Genomic DNA, 24,373 nt, shown 5'->3' with positions numbered 1-24,373 from the left:
GTAGCTCCAGGAGTTTTGTTCTGCATAGTGGGGAGCGGTGGAAACCACGAGGCTATCGCAGGTGGTGGACTTGGCAGAGAGAGGAGCATATGGGTTTGACAGCGGAAATAGATGTCACCATCTGGTACCCGGGCCCTTCAGATGATTCCATTACCTCCCTGTCCTACCCCATATCTAGGTTGAGTGCGGATGGCATTTGAGATATATTTGCTTAATTTTTTTTTTCTTTTTTAATGACATAGTCCTGGTTTTAAGCAAATGGAGATAAAAGGTGATGTGCTCTGTTAGGGATGTCTGCCAAGGCAAAGCTCACAGAAGACGGGAGAAGTTTCTGAGGATAGACTACCTCTGACATTATTGCTTGGATTGGAGCTGGGCTGTTTCCTGTTAGAAAAGGCAGAATACAAGCCCCAGGGAAGGGGCCAATCGGTGTGCCAGCTACTGGAGCGCAAGGAGGATTCATTCCTGGATGAGAGGTGACTCAGCAGAGAGATTTCCTAGAGACACCTCCTGCCTCCTCCTTGTATGACGTTCAAATCAGACTTCTAGACATACAGCTTGTTAGGTGTTTAGTGATTAACTTTTCTGTGGGACTTGAATGTAAATGCCAGACTATGGCAGTTTGGGATATGGTCAGTTAAGCCAGATATGCTTTGAATAGCTTGTTAGATTTAAACATCTAGAATTTTGATGGCTGTGAACTTTGAGGATCTTACTTGGGATTATGGAATTATAGAGACACAGGGCAAATGAGATAAATGGGGTTCTCTTTTGTAGTTTTGTTGTTGTTTAGTTCATGTGGTCAGGTTATTCAGTGGCATGTCCCATGCAGATTTCTTACATCTGCCATCAGCTATGACATCATGCCTGGATTCCAGTAACAGGATGGCATTTCATCAAATTCTGAAAGTCATCATTATTTGGACTAGAACAACCTATTCCTTAAAATGCCTAGTAAGACGAAATCTGGAAACAACCCCCCAGGTTGGAACTCCTTAACAAAATCAGGGCACCTTTGCTGCAGTTGGCTGCAGTGTCACTTACCTGGAGAAGGCGCCTTGTTCACCCCAGGATGACCTGTCTGTGGGTTAAAAAACGGTGCTGTCCCCTTTGAGTCAGAATGGTGCTGGCCATTCCCCTGTCGTCTTTTCCTGCCAAGTTGGATTCAGTGCTGCATGCTGGATTTCTGGCATGCTGGAGTTAGTGATGGGGCAAAGATATGTTTGGAATTGGATGAAACTCTGGACACCTCTTCAGCTCCACTGTTTAGACAGCAGCTGGCTGGAGTGGCCTCCCAGTCAGTATCATCCATTCTCGAGACTAGAGGCAATCCCACTTCTGCTGATGGTCACCCAGAATTCCATCTCCCCACCTCCTCTCCAGATCCATGAGAAAGAAGAGGAAGAGTTCAATGAGAAGAGTGAAAATGATTCCGGTATCAACGAGGAGCCTCTGCTCACAGCAGATCAGGTATAAGTATCTCTCCAGGTTATCGGGACCTTTTGTTCTTTTGATGGAGAAAAAGTCCAAGAGAACACACTTGCCACATCCATTTAAGGCAGAAGAAAGATATGTGGTCATGTGGTGCCTGTGCTCATGACTCAGAGTATTTTTTGTTTCTTTTTTTTCTTTATATATATATACTTTTGAGACAGAGTCTTGCTCTGTTGCCCAGGCTGGAGTGCAGTGGCGTGATCTTGGCTCATTGCAACCTCTGCCTCCCGGATTCAAGTGACTTTCCTGCCTCAGCCTCCCGAGTAGCTGGGACTACAGGCATGCACCACCATGCCTGGCTAATTCTTATAAAAAATTTTTTGGTAGAGATGTGATTTCACCATGTTGGCCAGGCTGGTCTCAAACTCCTAACCTCAAGTGATCTGCCCACCTCAACCTCCCAAAGTGCTGGGATTATAGGCATGAGCCACTGTGCCTGACCTTTTTTTTTTTTCATTTTGAGACAGGGTCTCACTTTGTCACCCAGGCCAGAGTGCAGTGGCAAAATCAGGGTTCACTATAGCCTCAACCTCCTTGGCTCAAGCGATCCTCCCGCCTCAGGCCCCTAAGTAGCTGGGACTACAGGCATGCATCACTATGCCCAGCTAATTTTCTGTACTTTTAGTGGAGATGAGGTTTCACCATGCTGCCCAGGCTGGTCTCAAACTCCTGGACTCAAGCAGTCCACCCGCCTTGGCCTCCCAAAGTGCTGGGATTACAGGCATGAGCCACGGTGACTGTCCAACTCAGAGTATTTTTGATAAGGGATTTCATCTCTCTTTCTGCCTCAGGTTGCCCACCTGCAGTGAACATGAATGTCATTCTTGACACTTGGGATAGTTGGGGTCAGTCTCTGATAGGAGCCAGAGACAGGCATAGTGTTTAGTAGCTACAATCCTGCTAAGCCTTCTTATTGAAATTCGTTGTACTCGGAGTCAAGACACTCAAACAAGGGTCCCAAATACCTGTTTTCCCAAAAAGAGAAGTGACAGATGAGGCTTTTGTGTGATGGATATTTTCTTACATTTCATAGAACACTCAAAATTTTGGGCCTTCCGAAAGGAGTCTTAGAGCCACTTCGACTTTGTGAAAAAAGATAGAGTGCTTCGCATTCAATTGAGATCATCATAGCTTTAATAATTTATTACTTAGAGAGGATAATGTTCAGTTTCTGGATTCCTTATTTAATGTTTTAGTCAACAAATATTTATGGGTGCTTATTTTGAGCTAAACACTACATAAGTTTCCACAAAGTCTTTCTGCAAAGCTCCACTGGCAGCCTTCGGTGCCAGAAAGTGCTTTTTTAGCAGCAATGGTGCTTTTTCATATCTGTGATAGAAAGGTGGGAATTGAAACACGTGAGGATTAGGAGACTGAAGAGAACCAGATTTTTAAAAATAGGGGCTAATAGCTATTCTTGTGACTTGTAGGAGGATCTACAATTCAATGATATGAACTCAATTATAACTCCTCTTAGAGAAAAGGACATTCAGCCATAAGACCCTGACAGGGACTTGTGTCATTTGGTTGCATTCTGTAAAATGGCTTTCAGTAGTCAAAGACTGGGTATTTCCTAAGTTTGTGAGTAGAGGTGAAAAGGTTTGGGAATAAGAATGGAAATTATTCTAAAGGAGGAGACCCTGAAACCCCTTACCTTTGGTCCAGCCCACTGTGAAGAAACCACCTCAAAGAGTACAATGCTGGCCTCGGGGACTTTAGTCCATCCATGGAGAACAGACAAAGGTGAAGGTTGGGACAAAACTCATCTAAAGACCTGCTTTCAGCAGCAGTCTTCTTTATTTGTAAATAATTAATGTACAAAGTAAGTCACTCTTTTTTTTGTTGTTGTTGTTGAAACAGGATCTGGCTCTATTGCCCAGGCTGGAGTCCAGTGGCCCAGTCTCGGTTCACTGCAACCTCTACCTCTTGGGCTCAAGCCATCCTCCCACCTCAACCTCCCAAGTAACATGGACTACAGACACACGTCACCACAACTGGCTAATTTTTCTGCTTTTTGCAGAGATGGGGTTTCGCCATGTTGCTCAGGCTGGTCTTGAACTCCTGAGCTCAAGTGATCCACCTGCCTCGGCTTCCCAAAGTGCTGGGATTACAGGCATGAGACACCATGCCCAGCTAGTAATTCACTTTTGTTCCTTTTGGCAGATATCTAATTTTCCCTCCACTTCTGGGAGCTGGCTCCTGTCAATAGTCTAGATTAGAGCTGGGGTTCTTATCTATTTGCTGCTCTCTAGACTCCACCTATCCTTCTATTATTTCATTATCTCTATTTTCATTTGTTGCTGGGCAGCTTCAGTTCCTGTCTAGGTGAATTCTGGAGAAATAGTTGTTTTCCTCCCCATTTTGTGTTGTTCTAGGAGCACGCTATTTTTTACAGTCACGTGTATTATGTCAATTAATGGACTGGGTTTTGTGTTAAAGTTGGGTGAATGAAATATTTTCCCACTTAGAAATAGCTCAGCACATTGAAGTAAATGTTCCCTTCCAGGCAGCTCTGCCTTGCTTCCTGAAAGAGCAGCTTATTTCCAATAAGTCATTTATCTAAAAGGAGCTCTTGGAAGAGGTTTTACATTAAAGAGTGCCTTACATTAAAGAAAGAGTGTATGCAAGCCTTTGGTTGGAACTATTTTTATTATTCAGTATTTATGTAAAAACAATATTGCTTTAGAAATTTTCAGATAGCTAATTAGGAACATCCTTAACTGATCAAAATTCAAGCCAGAATGCCCCTCTAGCAGAGAACAGAGTTAGCACTCTCTCGTGTACCTTCTTCAGGTAATTGAGGAGATTGAGGAAATGATGCAGAACTCCCCAGACCCTGAGGAAGAAGAGGAGGTTCTGGAAGAAGAGGATGGAGGAGAAACTTCCTCCCAGGCAGACTCGGTCCTCCTGCAGGAGATGCAGGCATTGACACAGACCTTCAACAACAACTGGTCCTATGAAGGTGAGGGCCCTGGGCGCTGGGCTGGCCGAGGAGGAAGCACCTGCTCGGGGCCAGGCTCTGGGCTGTGTGCTTTGTACATGGCTAATAGAACCCTGACTGCCTCAGAGCAGAGCCTTGCAGATCTAGGTGGTCAGCAATACCTTTCTTACTCGGCATCAGGAGAGAAGTTTGCATTTTTGAGAAAAGAACAAGGTAGTCGAGCAAAATTTAAATGTTAAAACTAACCAAAGAACAAGACTAAGGCAGAATAAGCAGAAGAAATCTGAACTACTATATAAAAGCAATGAATGATGCTACCATAAAATCAATGAATAAAAAAGGTAATAGTAACAGCTCATATTTCTGAAGTGCTTTCTATGTGCCAGACCTTATTCTAAGACTTTCTTTCTTTTTTTTTTGAGACAGAGTCTCTCTCTGTCTGTCACCCAGGCTGGAGTGTAGCGGCATGGTCTTAGCTCACTGCAACCTCCACCTCCCAGGTTGAAGTGATTCTCAAGCCTCAGCCTCCTGAGTAGTTGGGACTACAGGCACGTGCCACCACGCCCTGCTAATTTGTGTATTTTTGTAGAGACGAGGTTTCGCCATGTTGGCAAGGCTGGTCTCAAACTCCTGGCCTCAAGTGATCTGCCTGCCTCAGCCTCCCAAAGTGCTGGGATTACAAGTGTGAGCCACTGCGCCTGGCCTTATTCTAAGACTTCCTATGCCTAATCTCATTTCATCTTCACACCAACCCCATTTGGATCAAGCTAACCGAGTCTTTCAGAGGTTACATGACTTGTCCAAGGCCACTGTTAGGGAAATATGATTAGAAATGAGATTTCCTTCCTGTTCAGAAAACCTCTCCACAAAGACAGGTGAGAAAGAAAACTATTTTGTTACTATTTTTATTTATTTATTTATTTTTTAGAGATAGAATCTCGCTCTGTCGCCCAGGCTAGAGTGCAGTGGCATGATCTTGGCTCACTGCAGCCTCTGCCTCCCAGCTTCACGCGATTCTCCTGCCTCAGCCCCCTGAGTAGCCGGGATTACAGGCATGCATCACCATGCCCAGCTACTTTTTGTGTTTTTAGTAGAGATGGGGTTTCTCCACGTTGGCCAGGCTGTTCTCAAACTCCTGACCTCAGGTTATCCGCCTGCCTCGGTCTCCCAAAGTGCTGGGATTACAGGTGTGAGCCACCATGCCCGGCCTAGAAAACTATTTTATTATTGAATAAGCACTAAACCAGGATGGGAGCCACATCACAGACAACTCTCTGAAGAGACTGCAAAGACAGAAAGCAGTCTCACTCTTGTGTAGCTAAGTGGATGAATGGAACCCATTACATTGAGTAGGTTTTGCAATTTGGAGTCGGAAGGGAGTTAGGCCCCTCTGCTCAGAACAATGAGAGATGATTATGTTTCTTTTTCTTTTCTTTCTTTCCTTCTTTTTTTTGAGACAGAGTCTTGCTCTGTTGCCCAGGCTGGAGTGCAGTGGCATGATCTCTGCTCACTGCAACCTCCGCCTCCCAGGTTCAAGCAGTTCTCCTGCCTCATCCTCCCGAGTAGCTGGGATTACAGGCATGCACCACTACGCCTGGCTAATTTTTATATTCTTAGTAGAGATGAGGTTTCACATGTTGGCCAAGGTGGTCTCGAACTCTTGACCTCGTGATCCGACTGCCTCGGCCTCCCAAAGTGCTGGGATTACAGGCATGACCCACTGCGCCCGGCCCGATGATTATATTTCAAAGCAGTAACCTCCAGGCCCTTGAAGAAAGCCTCCTGAATTATAAGAATGACAAGAGGCTTATTTTAGCCATGACAATAATTTAATGTAAATGTAACATATGTTTATTTTAAAGATTTAATCTAAATCTTTGAGAGATTGAAAAGGATAGGTAGAAGAAATTCTGAAAGAAAAGGGAGGTGGGGGAGAGGAAAAGTCTCTTCCCTTATTTTCAACGGGGAGAATCAAGCCTCTCATTTAAAATTTGTATTTGTGCTTAGTCCATGCAGAAGCCATAAGGGGTGAAGCTAACATTTGAAGCCAGGTAGGTTAACTCCAGAGGCCATCCTCTTAACTCTCTGACACAGGTTTATAGTAATTATGACTGTGCACAAGAAACGGCTGGATGAAGCATGAAATGAAAAAGTGTAACACAGCAAAGGCAGAACAATTCACCAGCCGTAGGGTATCAAATGCCCACGCTGCAGAAGGGGCCCCATCCTAGGAGTTGATCCACCCATGGGGAGATGGGAACTTAGAAACAGGGGAGGGAGAAGGTGGGTTGGTCAGGGTTCAAAGGTCAACTGCGGGTTAGAAGTGGTGAAAGCAGAGGCAGAATCTGGAGGCCTGCATCCTGCAAGTCAGACTTTGGCTTTGAATAGCAGCGGCAGGAGGTGGCCGGCAGAGAGTCTGCTCGGTGCTGAACTGGACTTGGCTGCCTCGCTGCATTCCCGACTGCCCTTGTCAGGCCCTTCCCAGCCACACAAAGGTCCCAAAGATAGACGCGTTCAGCAAAAGACTTGTGAAAACAGCTGAAATGCAGAGTGAAATGGCAAAAAAACAGAAGGGGGAGAGGGCAGCTCCAAAGAGCAGAATAAGGGGAAAGCCCAACCAAGTCAGCAAATATCCGGGCAAAGCAGAAACAAAGAGGAAGAGGGAAATGGATTCTGAGGTGAAAGTGAAGGACACCATTAGACGCTGTACATTTGAAAATAACTAAAAGAGTATAATTGGATTGTTTGTGACATAAAGGAAAAATGCCTTAGGGAGTGGATACCTCATTCTCCATGATGTGATTATTATGCATTGCATGTCTGCATCCAAACATCTCATGTGCTCCATAAACACATACACCCCCTATGTACCCACAAAAATTAAAAATTAAAAACCAGTCAATCAATTAATTCTTCCTCCCCTGCCGCAAAAAGATACCATTAGATGGAGACACATTTTAAAAGATGTTTCCCAAGTATATTTTATTTTTTCAAATTATATATATGTGTATATATATACATATATACACATATATGTGTATATATACATATATATGTGTATATATACATATATATATATATATATATATTTTTTTTTTTTTTTTTTTTTTTTTTTAAAGTAGAAACAGTTTCACCATGTTGGCCAGGCTGGTCTCGAACTCCTGGCCTCAGGTGACCCACCCACCTCAGCCTCTCAAAGTGCTGGGATTACAGGTGTGAGCCACTGCACCTGGCCTAAATTTTTTTTTAAGTGTTTAAAAGAATTTTTAATCAGAAAATGCTTAAAGGGTATAAAGTTTTTATTTATTTATTTATTTATTTATTTTTATTTTAAGATAGAGTTTTGCTCTTGTTGTTGCCCAGGCTAGAGTACAGTGGTGTGATCTCTGCTCACTGCAACCTCCGCCTCTCAGGTTCAAGCGGTTCTCCTGCCTCACTCTGCCGAATAGCTGGAATTATAGTCAGGCACCACCATGCCTGGCTAATTTTGTATTTTAAGTAGAGGCAGGGTTTCACTATGCTGGCCAGGCTGTTTTCGAACTCCTGACCTCAGGTGATCCGCACATCGCAGCCTTCCAATATGCTGGGATTACAGGCATGAGCCACTGCTCCTGGCCTAAAGTGTATAAAGTTTTAAAGCATGATTTAGACCTGTATACAAGTATAATCTCAACTATGAAAATATATAACATGTAAACAGAAAAATTTGGAATAAAATATCCAAATCTATTTTAAATGAAAGAAGTCTTAGGAGACTTCTTAAAGTTATATATTTCCCATGATCTCAGCTTCCCTTTTCTTTCCTTTGAAAGTAGCTGACTGCCGTATGCTAACCCGCTAGGCTTTATTTTTTCATGCATAGTCACCAATCTTCCAGGTTTCACATATTTTTGAATACATGCACTGCGACACAGGACCAGAGATGTAAAGAAGGGCTCAGATGGTCGGCTTTTTTGTTGTTGTTGCCGTATGCTATATCTTGATCAGTTCTTGGGAATAAGCACCAACGTCTCTATTGCTCTTCAGTATGGATGACAAAAACCTCCCTCCCATCACTTTTCCATCCCCAATTCTTGACCCATTTCACACAAGGAATCTTATGGACACAGATAGAAAATAGAAGGAACAAACCATCCCCATTTTTGAGAATAGAGTCCACAGACTTCCTCGTGGGCTGTTTCTTCTTCCTCCTTTGTTTCCTGAGAGGGGTGTTCTCTTCTGCAGTCAGTACACAGGCCCCCGCCTTCCTGGCGTGCTCGTAAATTGTGAAGGTCTTTCTTGGATCTTTAAGGAGTTGGAAGGGATCTCCTCTGAGGGGCAGTCCCATCTTGATTGGTGGTGGCCCCAGGAGCCTCCCCAGCGGGCTCTGGTGTGGATGCAGGTGTTATGCGGGAGACGGTCTTCCCCTGCAGGGCTGAGGCACATGTCTGGGTCTGAGCTGACCGAGCTGCTGGACCAGGTGGAGGGTGCCATCCGTGACTTCTCGGAGGAGCTGGTGCAGCAGCTGGCCCGCCGGGACGAGCTGGAGTTTGAGAAGGAAGTGAAGAACTCCTTTATCACGGTGCTTATTGAGGTTCAGAACAAGCAGAAGGAGCAGCGAGAACTGATGAAAAAGAGGCGGAAAGAGAAAGGGCTGAGCCTGCAGAGCAGCCGGATAGAGAAGGGAAACCAGATGCCTCTCAAGGTAGGTGAACAACCAGGTGGAAGACTGGGTGCCTCCAACCTCCAACCCTGCCCGTTTCAGTGCCCTACCAACCCTGCAGGGGACTCATCAACGTTTACCGAGCAGTGGTGGTGAGCAGCACACTGTGACAGACAGGGGGTCAGAAAGGGAGAAGATATCACCTATCTCCTCCACTCCCCCAAAGGGCTCACAGTCTAACCCAGGAAGACAGTGTGTACATTAGGAAATAATTGAATTTGGCTTGTGTTCTCTGTAGGCAAGACCTTAAAGAAAGTGGAGTGAGGGTATTTCGTGTTGGGAGTCTTGAGATGGGCCTCAGAATTCTGGGTCCAAATCCCTCCTTGTGTCCCAGGTTCCAGTCCTGACTGGTCTCTTTAGGGCGTGCTAAGGTGTTTCAGTGATTGAAAATGATCAGGTGCCTTATTATTATTGTTATTATTTTTTGAGACAGAGTCTCACTCTTTTGCCCAGGCTGGAGTGCAATGGTACCATCTCGGCTCACTGCAACCTCCGCCTCCTGGGCTCAAGCAATTCTCCTGTCTCAGCCTCCCTAGTAGCTGGGATTACAGGTTCATGCCACCACTCCTGGATTATTTTTGTATTTTTAGTAGAGATGGGGTTTCACCATGTTGGCCAGGCTGGTCTCAAACTCCTGATCTCAGGTGATTTGCCCATCTTGGCCTCCCAAAGTGTTGGGATTACGGGCATGAGCCACCGTGCCTGGCCCCAGATGCCTTATTGTTCTATTGTTCTATTTTTGGGTTTAACCCAAACCCCTGGTTCTCATGGTTCATTTTTTTTTTCTTTTTTTTTTTTTTGGTGAGATGGAGTCTCACTCTGTTGCCCAGGCTGGAGTGCAGTGGTGCGATCTCGGTTCACTGCAATCTCTGCTTCCCGGGTTCAAGCGATTCTCCTGTCTCAACCTCCTGAGTCGCCGGGATTACAGGTTCACACCACCACGCCTGGCTAATTTTTGTATTTTTAGTAGAGACGGAGTTTCACCATGTTGGTCAGGCTGGTCTCAAACTCCTCACCTCGTGATCTCCCCGCCTCGGCCTCCCAAAGTGCTGGGATTACAGGTGTGAGCCACTGCGCCCAGCCACTCATGCTTCTTAATCAGGGGAGCTCAGTAGAATTATCTAAGGAGTTTTTTTCAAAATGCCTTTCCCTAGGCTCTATCACAGACCTATGGAATTAGTTCTCCGCATGTACATTTTGAAAAAAACTTCCCCCATCAGGACAGTTGCTTTAAGACAGCCTCTTCTGATAGCTGAACATTTTGTTTTCCCCTAAGATCTTTGCATCATGGTTCATTTAAGTTTGACTGAACTGCTTTATTTTTCTATTTGCATGATGGAGGATAAAAGGAGGAAAACTGGGGGATGCAGAGGGGTCTTGTAGCCCTGAGGGACTTACTAAGATAAGAGTTCTTGAGACTCTGTTTATTCTTGCAAAGCTCAGGCTTCAATTCTGGCCTGTCTCTGTAAGCCAGTGTCTTACACTTACTGTCTAGTCACAGAACCCTGGGGCGTTATCTGGGACAGCCTGGTAGCTGAGAGGTCCCTGGGTGTGGTGACAGTGTAGCAAGAAGCATTTGCCCTTCTTGAGTCTCTCTCCCCCACAGCGCTTCAGCATGGAAGGCATCTCCAACATTCTGCAGAGTGGCATCCGCCAGACCTTTGGCTCCTCAGGAACTGACAAACAGGTACGCGTAGTCTCCCTGCTCCAAGCTCTCTTCCTAGACTCCTGCAGCTTGGCCTCCCCAGCAACGCAGGGGGACAGTGACTCACCAGAATTATCCCAGCATTTATTTAGGGGGTTAGGGGTCCTAACACTTTTTTCTCCTCTTAAGGAGGAACAGAGAATATCTTTTTAAAAGGCAAACTTTTTTTTTTTTTTTTTTTTTGAGCTCTAGTGTTCTAGGACATGGGCAAGACTTAAAACTCAACACTGCTTGTAGGTCTAAGAATTAAGTTGTTTTAAGGATGAAATGCATTAAGAGGGAGTCCATTTGATGATAGATCCCATCCTAGAGTTTAGTTAACTTTCCACCACACTGGATCACCTGCCAAGCCATTCCCACTAAGACTGCCTCTGCAGCTTCCCAGCTCTGGTTGGAACCCATGCTGTGGCTTTTTGTTGGCTCAGTAATTTCCCTGTGACATAGCTTGCATTTCTGGTTATTAAGACAGCATTCACAACTTTTATCAAGCGCCTGCTATGTGCTAAGCTCTGTTGTTAAGCCCTCAGGTGCAAAGGTGAAAAGTCCTGACCCCTGTCCTCATGGAGTGTATAATCTAATAGACATGGCTGGCACGTGAACAGAAAGTTTGAGATGGTGGAATGAGTGTACATGAAAGTGTATATGTTTTAAACATATTTGTAGCTGAATTCTAAGTGCTAGAATTCTAGAACTCTAGAATTCTAGAGAGTCTAGAGAAGGGGAAGAGATTTTAGCAGCATCGATCCCAGTCCTCTTGTTTTATGGCAGTGAGAACTATGGCCTGGAGATTCAAGGCATTTTTCCAAAGCCACACACACTGTCAGTGGCAAAGCCAAGACTAAAATGTGAGCTTCTGGCCGGGCGCGGTGGCTCACGCCTGTAATCCCAGCACTTTGGGAGGCCGAGGTGGGCAAATCACCCAAAGTCAGGAATTCGAGACCAGCCTGGCCAACATGGTGAAACCTCATCTCTACTAAAAATACAAAACTAGCCAGGTGTGGTGGCAGGCACCTGTAATCCCAGCTACTTGGGAGGCTGAGGCAGGAGAATCGCTTAAACCCGGGAGGTGGAGGTTGCAGTGAGCCGAGATCAAGCCACTGCACTCCAGCTTGGGTGACAGAGCGAGACTCTGTCTCAAAAAAAAAAAAAAAAGTGAGCTTCTTAGCTTTGATCTAGAGCTCTGGCACTCACCACCTCAGGCTTCCTTGAGACTCCTTTGACAGCCCACTAGGCCCTGATGCTGGTTTTGTTGTAGGAGCACCTGACATCCAGCAGAGGGAGCAAATCTGACATCAGAGACCCTGGGCGGGGTTGAGGTTCTCTTGCATATCTTTTTTGACAAAAGACAAACAATTCCTTCTCAAATTGCACTGCAAAGAATAAGAAAATATAATCCCCTTGGATTTATTCTCTGCTTTCAGTCTAAAGGAGAAAAAGCTCCCCAGGATTCCTAAATAACAGAGAAGTTTGTAGTGTAGGAAGAATCTAGAAGTTGGGATGGAGAGAAATGTGGGAAAGTCTTACTTTTAAAGAGACATTCCCTAAAGAGGGGTAAGAAGTTCTGAAACAGTGACGTACCAGTGACCATGAATGTTTCAGAGAAGGTCAGATTTGCAGTGTGTGTCTTAGAGAAAGGCTAAATCTCAACCCAGAGGAAGCATGTCTTCTGTCTCAAGCCCCCTGCATGCTGTTTGTCTTGCAGTATCTGAACACAGTCATTCCTTACGAGAAGAAAGCCTCTCCTCCCTCAGTGGAAGACCTGCAGATGCTGACAAACAGTGAGTTCCTCTTGTTCTCAGCCAGATCAGTGGCTCCTTTTTCTCCCTTCCTGCCTGTACGTTGTACCTCCGTGCCGCAGGCCCGAGACTCCTCAAAGCAGGTTTACATGGGCCAAAATACCCTCCAAATTACTGCGTCACATCCTCCCGCACAGTGTAAAATTAAAATACTCTGCAGTGATAACCAGAGCTGTTTTTTCTTTCTCCTGGTTCCCATAAGGGAAGAGGCCTGCTGGGGGAAAAAAAAATGAGCTGGTGAAAGAGGTTGGGGTGCTGGTGCAGGGGACTTTTTGTTTTCCCCTGCAGTTCCCAAGGCTTGGCATCCTCTGCCTCCCTGTTCTCTCTCTCCCTGCAACTTGAGGTTGCCTGGTCGGCACTTGTGCCCCTTGAAGCAGGGCGCCTGGTCTCTGGGTCTGGCTGTATTTTTAATGAGAAGCAAGGTTTCTTGGGTGGGGTAAGGCTGACTGGAAAAAATAGAGTCCAGCTTTCCTTCCAGGAAGTGACTGCCTCCTCTCCTCCACTTTGCTCTATTGTCAAATATTAATAAACATTCTGAACTATGAGGGAAAACAGTGTGTAACAAAGAGCCTTTTGTAGACAGTAACTGTTTATATACATCAAACAGTACGACCCCCAAAGGGCTGGGGGGCACATGGTGTTAGCCATCAGTGTCAGCTTGGCCCTCTTAGGACGAGAAAAATCCTAGGCTGAGATGTGGTGACAGGCCCAGAGGATCACGAGGGAAATTCCATTTCCTTGGCAACCGTGCCCTGCAGAGAGTGACAGCTAACGAGGCCCCGCCCACTGCAGCCTGTTCTGGAGGGAAGGGGCCAGTGCGGGGCTACTGGATACCCAAGGAGAGGGGAAGTTGAGCTTCTGTTCAGCTGAGGAGGATGGATACCTGCTGGGGCCTGGTGCTGAAGGTGACCAAACGTTTCATTTTTTGTCAATTTGGAGAGTGAAAGCAGGAGGTTCTGGCAAACAGAAATCCTGCCTACATCATGCCTGCATCAATAGACACTGTGTCCTTGAGAATCAGGAATTTTAAAATCAAAGTACAGTGACTTGTCCTTAACTCATTGTAAACTCCTTTATTTGCATAAATATGCACTAAGTTTCTTTTTTTTTAAGGGAGAAAATAGAGATGAACTGACATTTATAGATGTTTGTGTTTTCACACAAGTTACATTTGGAAAGTAATTTGGACAAATTATGAAGGTTGATATATGTAAAGTATTCTATCATAGCTCAAAAAAATAAATAGCTATTAATTTGTTGCAGATACCCATTCAGGAATTCAGTGTGAAATCTTTTCATTTTAATTAAGAAACAGACTTTTTTCTATTTTGAGTGGTTTTGTTTACATTTTTTAAGTTCATTAAAAAAATTATAGCTAGAGTATATCCATCATTTAGACTACTTTGGAAATAAGGAAAAGCAAACAAAGAAAAATAAATAACTCATTGTCTACTCCACTATGGTTACCATTTTGGTGCTTTTCAGACTTAATATTTTGTATCTTTTCTATATAGTTGAGATTATACTGGCTGTAAAATTTTGTGTCATGATTTTAGTCACATTAGTTAACACTTTGTTAATGTTCTTTTTATGGCTATCTCTTCTATCATGTGGATATACTACCTTCCAACATTTTATTGCTTTTAGAAAAAAAACCTGCCATCTTTTCTGAATACCAATTCTCCTGTAGGTTATGAAGCCTCTCTTTTTTGGCAGATCCTCATATGAATTTGTGAACAATGCCTCTTCTCTCTTCTACTCTTTGAACTAAGTACATAGGCCAAAGACCAGCTCCTGCGACTAGCCAATCCTTGTAAATTTTAGATTTTGGAGATTAATTTAGATACGTATTGGCAAGAGCAATTATTGTATTTTTACGTGATCTTCGTGGTGTGGCATTTAGTCTGCTTATGCTCAGTTGCAAAGTGTTCTTGACAACTAAGCTGAAATGAAGGCATGTCTAAAAATGCAGAAAAAAATAAAACAGGCCGAGTATGGTGGCTCACGCCTGTAATCCCAGCACTTTGGGAGGCCGAGGCGGGTGGATCACCTGAGGTCAGGAGTTTGAGACCAGCCTGGCCAACATGGTGAAACCCCCATCTCTACTAAAAATACAAAAAATTAGCCAGATGTGGTGGTGCACGCCTGTAATCCCAGCTACTTGGGAGGCTGAGGCAGGAGAATCGCTTGAACCCGGGAGGCGGAGGTTGCAGTGAGCTGAGATCGCACCACTGCACTCCAGCCTGGATGACAAGAGTGAAACTCCGTCTCAAAAAAAAAAAAAAACCCAGAAGAAACCAGGACCCCCTAGAATCCACTTAAGCTGAGATGAATACATGTCTAAAGATACAGAAGAAATAAAACAGAAACAAACCAACCCCTCAATGGCCTCAGGTTGAGTCTCTTTTTCTGGACCTGGCTGCTGACTCACGCCACCATTGGATTTTCTTCCTCACTCACTCCTAATTCTTGGATTCAAGTTTCATTACCCTGTCTTGAAACTAGTCAAGGTAATCAATCAAAGGAGGACAAGGATATCGAAATGAAGTGGCAATCCCACTGTTGCAGCTGCCTTCTGACCCTAGCTATCAGTGCCAGTTGATCTTTAGTGTTTTCTTGGCTTACAAAAGTAATACATGCTCATTGAGAAAAGCCAGACCCCACAGAAATGCAGCATAGAAAAGAACATCCCCTATTGTCTTACACTCAGAGATAACTACTTAACAGTTTCATGTATTATTGTTCTAGATTTTTTTTCTATGAACATTAGCATTTAATTATAAAGTTAATAAATGTTCTGTAACCTTTCTTCACTGATAACTATGTCTTGTACATATAGCTCTCTCTTATTTTTCTTTTCTTCCTCTTCTTCTTTTTTTTTTTTTTTTTTTTTTTTTTATAGAGACAAAGTCTTGCTATGTTGTCCAGGATGGTCTTTTTCTTGTTTTTGAGACAGAGTCTCACTCTGTTGCCCAGGTTGGAGTGCAGTGGCATGATCACAGGTCACTTTGGGAGGCCAAGTGGGGAAGATTGCTTGAGCCCAGGAGTTCAAGACCAGCCTGGGCAACATGGCAAAACCTCATCTTTACTAAAAAAAAAAAAAAAATTAGCTGGGCATAGTGGCACGTGCCTGTAAGTCTCAGCTACTTGGGAGGCTGAGAGGGGGAGGATTACTTGAACCCAGGAGTTTGAGGCTGTAGTGAGCTGAGAACACGCCACTGCACTTCAGCCTGTGTGGCAGGGCGAGATCCTGTCTCAAAAATAAAAAAGAAAAGAAAGTCACCAGTAGGTCCACTACCTAGAGACAAACACTGTGGCTCTTGCTGTGTTCTCGTCTATCACCATGTGCAGGTTTGTTACGGGGGCATATTGCGTGATGCCTCTCAAGTACTTTGGACTACAGGCGTGTGCCACCACACCCAGCTATCTTTTTTTTTTTTAATTAGAAATGAGGTTCTGCCATATTGCCCAGGCTGGTCTTGAATGCCTGGGCTCAAGGTCTGGGTTACAACTGAAACTAAACCTGTCACCCAGGTAGTGAACATAGTACCGGATAGGTAGTTTTTTAGCCCTTGCCCCTGAAATGCTGACCCCTGATAGAGCCTTCTAGACTTTTGCTCAATACTCAATAAATGTCTGGTTCTTTTGAATCATTTCTCTCTCACTCTGGGCTGGTGGGTCATGTGGCCCTAGAAGTGAACCTCTGACCAGATGGTATCTTAGTTCCTCTCTCTGTCTCCTTTCCTAGTTCTCTTTGCCATGAAGGAGGATAATGAGAAGGTGCCTACTTTGCTAACGGACTACATTTTAAAAGGTAAGAGCAGCCCCAGGCCTCCTGGAGCAGAAGGGGTTCTCTGGAGCTCCTGCTCCAGTTAGGGAACCTTCCCAGCTTGCCCATGCCAGACCAGACCAGGCAGGGGCCAGGGAAATCAGGGACAATTGAAAGGCTTTGGAGTAATAGGTTTTCCCTTTGGGTGTTGCCAGGAGGCCGCAGGAGGAGATTCCATCACCCCCGAGTCACCAGTGACTTTCCTTGGAGCAACAAACCAACAAAGGACTTATTGTGAAAATTCTGCAGAGTTTGGGCTACTTAGTATTTAGTTGGGAAAAACAAAACCTGATGATAATTTAATACTTTTCAAGCACTTGAAAGGAAGCTGGAGACATAATTGACTACACCCTTTCATAACTTTTTAACCTTGTCTTATGGAAACTGGTTGTACATACAAGAGTAGAGGAAATGGCATAATACACTCTCAGGTACTGATGAGCTGGCATCAACAGTTATTAAGTCCCGGCCAGGCTTATTTCATTTACGCCTCTACCCAACTTCTCCCCTCCCATGTTATTTTAAAGCAAATCTCTGTCATAGTTTTCATGCATAACTATTTCGGTATGCATTTCTAAAACATAGGAACTCTTGAGGAAAACATAGCCATAATACCATTTCACAACTAAAACAAATGAAGAGTTTCTTTCTTTTTTTTTTTTTTTGAGATGGAATCTCGCTCTGTCACCCAGTCTGGAGTGCAATGGCGTGATCTCAGCTCACTACAACCTCCGCCTCCTGGATTCAAGCAATTCTCCTGCCTCAGCCTCCTAAGTAGCTGGGATTACAGGCGCCTGCCACCATGCTCAACTAATTTTTGTATTTTTAGTAGAGACGGGGTTTCACCATGTTGGCCAGGGTGGTCTCAAACTCCTGACTTCAGGTGATCCACTCGCCTTGGCCTCCCAAAGTGCTGGGATTACAGGAATGAGCCACTGTGCCCAGCCAAGAGTTTCTTAGTACTGACTATCCAATCAGTATTCCCTGTTTTTCCCATAAAGTATTTTTCAGTTTATTTGTTTGAATCAGGGGCCAATAAAGATCAGTAGGTTGCAATTAGATAATAATATGTCTCTTACATCTCTTTGATGTATATAGGTTCCCCTTTTCTTTCTCTCTTCCATTTCTTGAAATGCATTTGTTGGAGAAACTAGGTTGTTTGTGCCATAGAATTTCCTCATTGTGGATTTTTGCTAATTTCATCCCCATGGTGTAATTTAATATGTTCTCCTGTCTTCTTTATTGCCTGTGAACTGATAGAACTGGAAGCCTGATCAGATACAGCTTCCGATTTTTTGATAAGCACTACATTATAGGTGGTTATAGGTTTCCAGACTTCCATGGGGTGACATATATTGTCTGATTGTCTTTCCTTTTGTGATGTTAATAGTCCTTGAGGATTGCTCACTGTCTAGATCTATTATTTTATTGTTTTTTGTCCTGCATGCACACAAAACTATGTACGGTTGCAGAGGGACCATATTTGTGGGACCTATAGCTAAGAAATCCTGAGATATATTGTTTCTATAAGGATCAGAAGGACTAATCTTAAATTTCAGCAGGAGGAACTTAGAGTAAACATTAAAAATAACTTGTCCAGCCTGGGCAACATGGTGAGACCGCGTCTCAATTAAAAAAAAAATCAGCCAGGTGTAGTGGTGCGCGCCTGTAGTCCCAACTACTCAGGAGGCTGAGGTGAGAGGATCACTTGAACCCAGGAGCTGAGACTGCAGTGGGGGCTGTGATCACACCACTGCATCCAGCCTGGGTGACACAGCAAGACCCTGTCTCAAAAAAACAAACAAACAAACCACAAAACAAAACAACAACAACAACAACAACAAAACACAAAAAACCACAGAAAGGGTTTGTGACTCAAAGATTTTAAAAGAGCAGCACATTTCTCAAAGGAGGTTCTCAAAGGAGGATTATAGAAACAGGTTATATAAATTTGGTAGTCGGAGGGCTGGACTTTACCCCTCACGAGCCACTGAGTTGTCACTGAATTTGTACAAGTGATTAATATTTACTCAGCACTTGCCACATGCCTCTCAACAACCCTGCGGGGTAGGCGCAGGTACGTTCTATTGTATTGATGAAGAAACAAGCATGGAAAGGTGAAGTTAATTTCCCTAAGGTCATGTAGTTAGTAATGGCTGGATCCAGGATTTGAACTCAGGCCCCGGAGACTACACGCTTAGTTATTATAACCAGCAACCACCTGCCATTGTCTCTCCCTTATTCTAGGCACTAAGTGGGGGCTGTCACCACTCAGGAGCTGGTGTGACTGCTCTCAGCTAGGGCTATCCAGGGCTCGGAGGTCCCCACCTGCAACTGTGTTCTGACCGCTCTCCCCTCCTCTCTTCTCGTTGCAGTGCTCTGCCCTACCTAACCTTGCCCTTTGGAGCAGCCTCGCTGCAGGAGGTCACTGAGCAAGAGTCATTCCATCACAGGGACTGCATGAGACCATGTAACCTCCGACATGTATTTAAACGTGTATAGCTTAACCTGGATTAAACACGAGCAAGCGCGCGGGGTCCTTTGCCGTTGGCTTCTAGTGCTAGTAATCATTGGATGCATGATGGGGCAGGGCCGGTGATGGTGCCTCCCCCTTGCTGGTGTCAGGAGAGGGGAAGGCAGCCGCTTTCACCGCTCATTATGTAGTCTGGCTACAGCCCTCAAAAACAGCTTATACTCTTAAGACTAATTTTGAAATAAAACCTTCATTTAATTAATATTCTTCATGTGCTTTGGAGTGTGATGTCCATTAGCCCTCTGCTCCAGACTCCAGAGACGGGCTGTATAGCATTCTTTGCACGCCGGCCTGTGGCCTGTGGCAGCCAGTGCTGTGTTTAGGGACCGGGCGCATGTCCTGTTGTGGGTCGTGGTGGGATCATGGGACACAGTGGGGCTGCATACAGCATAGGCAGAAGGAGACCCTCTGCAACCTCAGTTTTTGCTGCTCAGCCACATGCAAGGGAGCTGCACCAGGGGCTGCAGAAAGGAGCTGGTCAGAGTGGGTGAGACGGGGGTGAGAGTGTGCAATTAGCAGATAGAAAGTGGGCCTCATGGAGGAGCCACACAGCTGCAGATCTCCTGGTGGGATGGCCAGGCTGGCCCTGGAGACCCTCCCCAGGCTGTCCACGGGGACCTGGAGGCTCAGGGCCTGCGGGAAGTCAGCTCTGCTGAGCTTTCCCAACGTAGGGGACTGCAACTTGTTTCCTGTACTTGACGAAACCACCACTCCCTGTTTGTCCCCAACGACCCCTGGCAACAGTGTCCTTTGACTTTGCAGTGCTGTCCTGGCCCTTCCCGCGGCCCTCCATGAACAGCAGCTCTGACTCCTCGCACTGTCTCCAGCATTGATGGCAGGCAGCTGCCAGCCTTGACCAACCAGCAGGCGAAGGTCTCCTCGTATCCCGGATGCTGGCTCGATCTCACCACAGTCTGAATTCTGTTGGCTTCCGTCTTCTGGCTTGAAAGACATTGAGCCTGCCAATTCCCATATCCTCCTCTGAAAGCAAAAACTTGTACTGGGCACTTGCTGTAGCCTGCACTGGCTTCATCGTGCATTAGCACACATCACAGCATCACCACGTGTAAACAGGTGCTAGTATGATCCCGATTTTGCAGAGGAGGAAACCAAGCAGCAGAGATGTTCAGTAGCTCGCCCAAGGCTGTGTAGGAAGTGGTAGAGTCAGGCTGGCATTTAGGTTTCTTATCCAGTGAGACTTCCATTGATTCCCAGGAGTTTAGTGTCTGCTTGAACTAAGCATGCCACAGAGAAAGCCATACTTTATCACATCAGCAGCTCCACAGAAGGCCACAGAATCCATCTAGGGGACACAGAAGGCACTCCCAGTGCCCTGCCTCCCTTCCTGGGCCTCTGCTTTTTTTTTTTCAGACGGAGTTTGACTCTTGTTGCTCAGGCTGGAGTACAATGGCGCTATCTCAGCTCGCCGCAAACTCCGCCTCCCACGTTCAAGTGATTCTCCTGCCTCAGCCTCCCGAGTAGCTGGGATTACAGGCATGCAGCACCACACCCAGCTAATTTTATATTTTTAGTAGAGACCAGGTTTCTACATGTTGGTCAGGTTGGTCTCGAACTCCCGACCTCAGGCGATCTGCCCTCCTAGGCTTCCCAAAGTGCTGGGATTATAGGCGTGAGTCACCGCGCCTAGCTCGGCTTCTGCTTTTCCAGAAGCAGAACACTAGCAATCTTAGCTAGGGGTGGCGGAGACTTATCCCCCCAGGAAAACTGCTGCAATGCCTAAAGCTCTAGTCCAGGCATCTGCCCAGAGCAGAGCTTCTCCATAGATAGAGCCCCGGCTGCCACAGGAGCATGGAAGTGACAACTCGTCCTGTGATAAAAGGGCATGGATTCAGTTCGGCAGTTCACTGGTGCTAAGGCTGAACATGCCCAGGGTCATTAGTGGTGTGAGGTCATTAGCATGTTTAGCACTCTGCCGGCGACGGGGTTTTTCACCAGCCTCAGCAAAGGGGAAGCAGTGAATTCCTGAGAGCTTTTCTTCCTGCCTTGGATTTGTCAGATCTGGGTCAGCCACTCCTTTCCCCCAATTTATCCTGCCAGCAGGTGTCTGAAGCGGCAGAGACAAGCTAATCAAAGCTGCTGGGAGTTAAAAATAAATCTCGAGTGTTGGGGATACACTCTGGCTAGGAGGAGGTGAGCAGGGCAGGCTGAAAACAGTGGCTCCTCCTTTCTCTCTTGTTTGTCCGTCTATCAGGAGTTTAAGGGGAATATGAAATCAATTCCTCATGGTTTTGCATTGCCCTTCCCTGTGTTCTTCCTATTCAAAGTGTGCTTTCCAGGCCAGCAGCACTGACCGCACTTAGAAGCTTGTTAGAAATGCAAAATCTCAGGCCCCACATCAGGCCTACTAAGTCAGAATTTGCATTTTAACAAGGTCTCCCTTTAAAAGGGAGGCAGCTCTTCTCTTAAAAGGAGCCTGGGTTTTGTGCCTTGAGTTCAAATGCAGCTCTACTACGTATTAAGCTAAATCTCCCTGCAACTTGTATTTGCATCAAGGATTAGAGAAACTCTGCCCTAGGTTTTCAGAGTTGCTGAATCCTTGACTCTTCAATGCTGAACCTAGGGAATTTGTGGCTAGTGTGATTATCAGGTGAACCCAATTGTCTTCCCTCAGCTTTTCCCTCTTCTGGTCTTTCTGGATTGTAGAAACCTCACAGAAGAGTCCCAAGAATTAACTGATTTTCAGGCCTGAGTCAATCCTGATTGCAAAACTCAAGTCCTGTCTAGGATGTCCGCACTCCGCAAAGTGTGCCAGAGAGCCACGGTCTGCAGGGAGCCCTCCTAGGTAGGTCAGAGGTCTGTCTGGCAAATACAGCCTATAAATGAGGTATGTTTCCATCAATTAAAGGATTTTGCTAGGCCTAGTCTGGTCAAGTTCTGGTAAGAAAACTCCACCACAGGGCCGGGCGTGGTGGCTCATGCCTGTAATCCCAGAACTTTGGGAGGCCGAGGTGGGCAGATCACCTGAGGTCAGGAGTTTGAGACCAGCCTGGCCAACATGGTGAAACCCCCTCTCTACTGAAAATACAAAAATTAGCCAGCTGTAGTGGTGCACGCCTGTAGTCCCAGCTTACTTGGGAGGCTGAGGCAGGAAAATCACTTGAACCCAGGAGGCGGAGGTTGCAATGAGCTGAGATTGTGCCACTGCACTCCAGCGTGGGTGACAGAGCAAGACTTTATCTCAAAAAAAAAAAAAAAAAAAAAAAAAGGAAAACACCATGGCACCAGAGGCCAGCCTTTATTTATGTGTAATTGAAACAAATGGTCATGCGGGAAAAACTGTTTTTCAAATGGAATATTCCAACAGTCTCTATCCTTTCGTCTCTACTTCAGGAGACCAATGTGATACTTCAGAAAGAAAACCCAAAGGGAGCATTTTGTGACCCTAAGTTTGTGGGACAAATTGGATTTTTAAAGTTAAATAAACCCTTTTCATACTTGCTGGACTAATGTCTGGAGAATGACTATCTTCCACTGGTGGTCAGGGAAGAAGGGATGGAGACCGTTAATGAGGAGACCTGGTCCTCCAGGTGTCTTAGGGTTCATTATAACCCAAGTCTTAATGGACTTCACCGAGTCCATGCCCAAGCCTCTTTTGAGCACCCACTATGTCCCAGGCACTCCCACCACAGCCCGGTCACTGAGAGGTTTAGGGGTCTCACCAGAGGTCAAAGGCAAAAAGCACCCCAGGACGCCCAGCTTTCTTTGCAGCAGAAGCAAGAAATGGGGAGTGGCAGCTTCGTTTCCAGGGAAGCCAGGAGAGGTGACTCTCATCACCCAGTCAGCCTCCGTAATTAGTATGCGTGGAGTGGAAAGTAATTAAATGCTACTCTTGGAGAAGAGATACTTGCGTTCTTGATGGCGCCTGATTATTTATTTCCTTGAGAGGATGAGAGAATGGTCGTTAGGGTTTCTGTCTGAGCCTGAGGTTTGCTCTCTTCCCTTCATCAGGGAAGGGAAGCCAAGGCCACTTTGCTCGCTGGGAAAGTGCTTTGGTTTCTTACTAATGCCTTTCTTCTAAAAGAACAATGAGCCACCTTAGCCCACAGCCCAGCAGCTCTGCACCCCGCCCAAGCCCTCATGCATATTCATCCTGCTTCAAAGAGCACAACATGGAATATGCAAATTAGCCATGCAGGAGCTGGTTGGCATTTTGATAACAGCTTTGTCTGAAAAACCCCAGAGACACATGCACATCTAGTTTCTCTCTTTCTCCCTTTCTCTTTTCTCTACCCCTGTGTCCTGCTTCTCACTCTCTTCCATTCCCAGCCTCCCAGAGAACAGGAAAATGAATCACAGAACCAAAGAAGCAAGTTATGGAGGAGCCCGGTGTCTCTATACCAGTCCAGTGTATTTCCACTTCTGCCTCTCCTCTCTCCTCCTTCAACAGAGTCGTTTTATTTTTTCCTACCAAAGTGTTGCCTGATCTGACAACATCCCAAGGTTTCCGGCTTGTCCTATGCTCTCCGTTGACTCCCCCGACTCTTGCCTGGGGACCCATTCTATGCCTGTCTCTCAGGGATTAACTTCCTTCCCTTTGTCTTTCTTCCATCTTCCAACCTGTTTTGCCCTTACTCTCAGCAGTCAAGGCTAAGAACCTAAGAACCTAGCCTTGCCTTCCAAGCAAGAAAGGAAAGGAATCAGCTGCACAGATCAGGAGAGAAGGTTTGGATATCAGCTGTCATCACCGACAGGTCACTGGGACTCAACATTTCCTGACACACACCAATTTCCAAAACACATCTGCACAACCATCACCAACAGTGCCGACGGCGGTGCTACTGCCCCCTCCTTTATCCCAGCAGCAGCGTCTCCTTCATGAGTTGCTTTCTAACCCCCTCCCATAGCAGAGCTACTTGAATAGCATGAAGAGGATTTTCTTAAGTTCAGATGACGTGAGTCCCGCTCCTTCTCCCCGAAATGCAGATGGTCAAGTCAGGAGCTGGTGGGTGACAGAGTAGGTGCTCTGCTATGGGAGAAGCAGGCTGGGGCTTGAAGCCCACATCCTTAGATGCTGTTTCATCCAGGACCTTGGAGGAGAAAGGCATAGGCAGGTGCAGGGATACAAGCACCTCTTGGGATTTGAGGACAGAGGGGGCCTCTCTCCTTGACTCCAAAGGCCAGCCTGGGTCAGCCAATGATTGGGGAGGCAGCTTATCTCCTAAAAGGAGCATGGGCTTTGTGCCTTGAGTTCAAATCCAGCTCTAGATACATATTAAGCTAAATAATTTTTTAGAAAATTACTTAATTTCTCTGAGCCTTGGTTTCCTCATTTAAAAAATGGGAATACTAATATTAATAATACTAGCAATTCTCCCACAGTTGTTTTAAATAATCTTTAGTGTCTAGCATATA

At 45.6% G+C, this 24,373-nt stretch overlaps 1 protein-coding gene across 3 annotated transcripts in view, besides 3 other annotated features; it reads left to right on the top strand.

The window, feature by feature from the left end:
* The window catches only part of FEZ1 (fasciculation and elongation protein zeta 1), a 53,385-nt gene extending 31,312 nt beyond the window's left edge, over positions 1-22,073 (top strand). For all 3 annotated transcript variants that reach the window (NM_005103.5, XM_005271735.3, XM_005271734.3), the window contains exons 4-10: positions 1,384-1,470; positions 4,288-4,456; positions 8,848-9,119; positions 10,744-10,824; positions 12,545-12,620; positions 16,387-16,452; positions 18,843-22,073. In NM_005103.5, coding sequence (NP_005094.1) covers positions 1,384-1,470; positions 4,288-4,456; positions 8,848-9,119; positions 10,744-10,824; positions 12,545-12,620; positions 16,387-16,452; positions 18,843-18,859 — 768 coding nt within the window. In that variant the 3' untranslated portion in view covers positions 18,860-22,073. The remainder of the gene's footprint in view (positions 1-1,383; positions 1,471-4,287; positions 4,457-8,847; positions 9,120-10,743; positions 10,825-12,544; positions 12,621-16,386; positions 16,453-18,842) is intronic.
* Positions 13,423-13,542: an enhancer, noted in NCBI's record as "active region_5697". NCBI's record gives its function as "activates an Ori minimal core promoter by ATAC-STARR-seq in GM12878 lymphoblastoid cells {active_cell/tissue: GM12878}" and the evidence as "EXISTENCE:reporter gene assay evidence [ECO:0000049][PMID:35858748]".
* Positions 15,027-15,321: a silencer, noted in NCBI's record as "tiled region #13231; K562 Repressive DNase matched - State 9:DNaseU". NCBI's record gives its function as "represses a minimal TATA promoter and a strong SV40 promoter by Sharpr-MPRA in K562 cells {active_cell/tissue: K562}" and the evidence as "EXISTENCE:reporter gene assay evidence [ECO:0000049][PMID:27701403]".
* Positions 19,023-19,886: an enhancer, noted in NCBI's record as "H3K27ac-H3K4me1 hESC enhancer chr11:125314964-125315827 (GRCh37/hg19 assembly coordinates)". NCBI's record gives its function as "activates a minimal SCP1, AML or CMV promoter by ChIP-STARR-seq in primed H9 embryonic stem cells {active_cell/tissue: H9 hESC(primed)}" and the evidence as "EXISTENCE:reporter gene assay evidence [ECO:0000049][PMID:30033119]".
* Positions 22,074-24,373: the final 2,300 nt, after the last annotated feature.

Source organism: Homo sapiens, chromosome 11, assembly GCF_000001405.40.
Source record: "Homo sapiens chromosome 11, GRCh38.p14 Primary Assembly".
In the NCBI taxonomy this organism is placed as follows: domain Eukaryota; kingdom Metazoa; phylum Chordata; class Mammalia; order Primates; family Hominidae; genus Homo; species Homo sapiens.
This window is presented reverse-complemented; position numbering and strand designations above follow the sequence as displayed.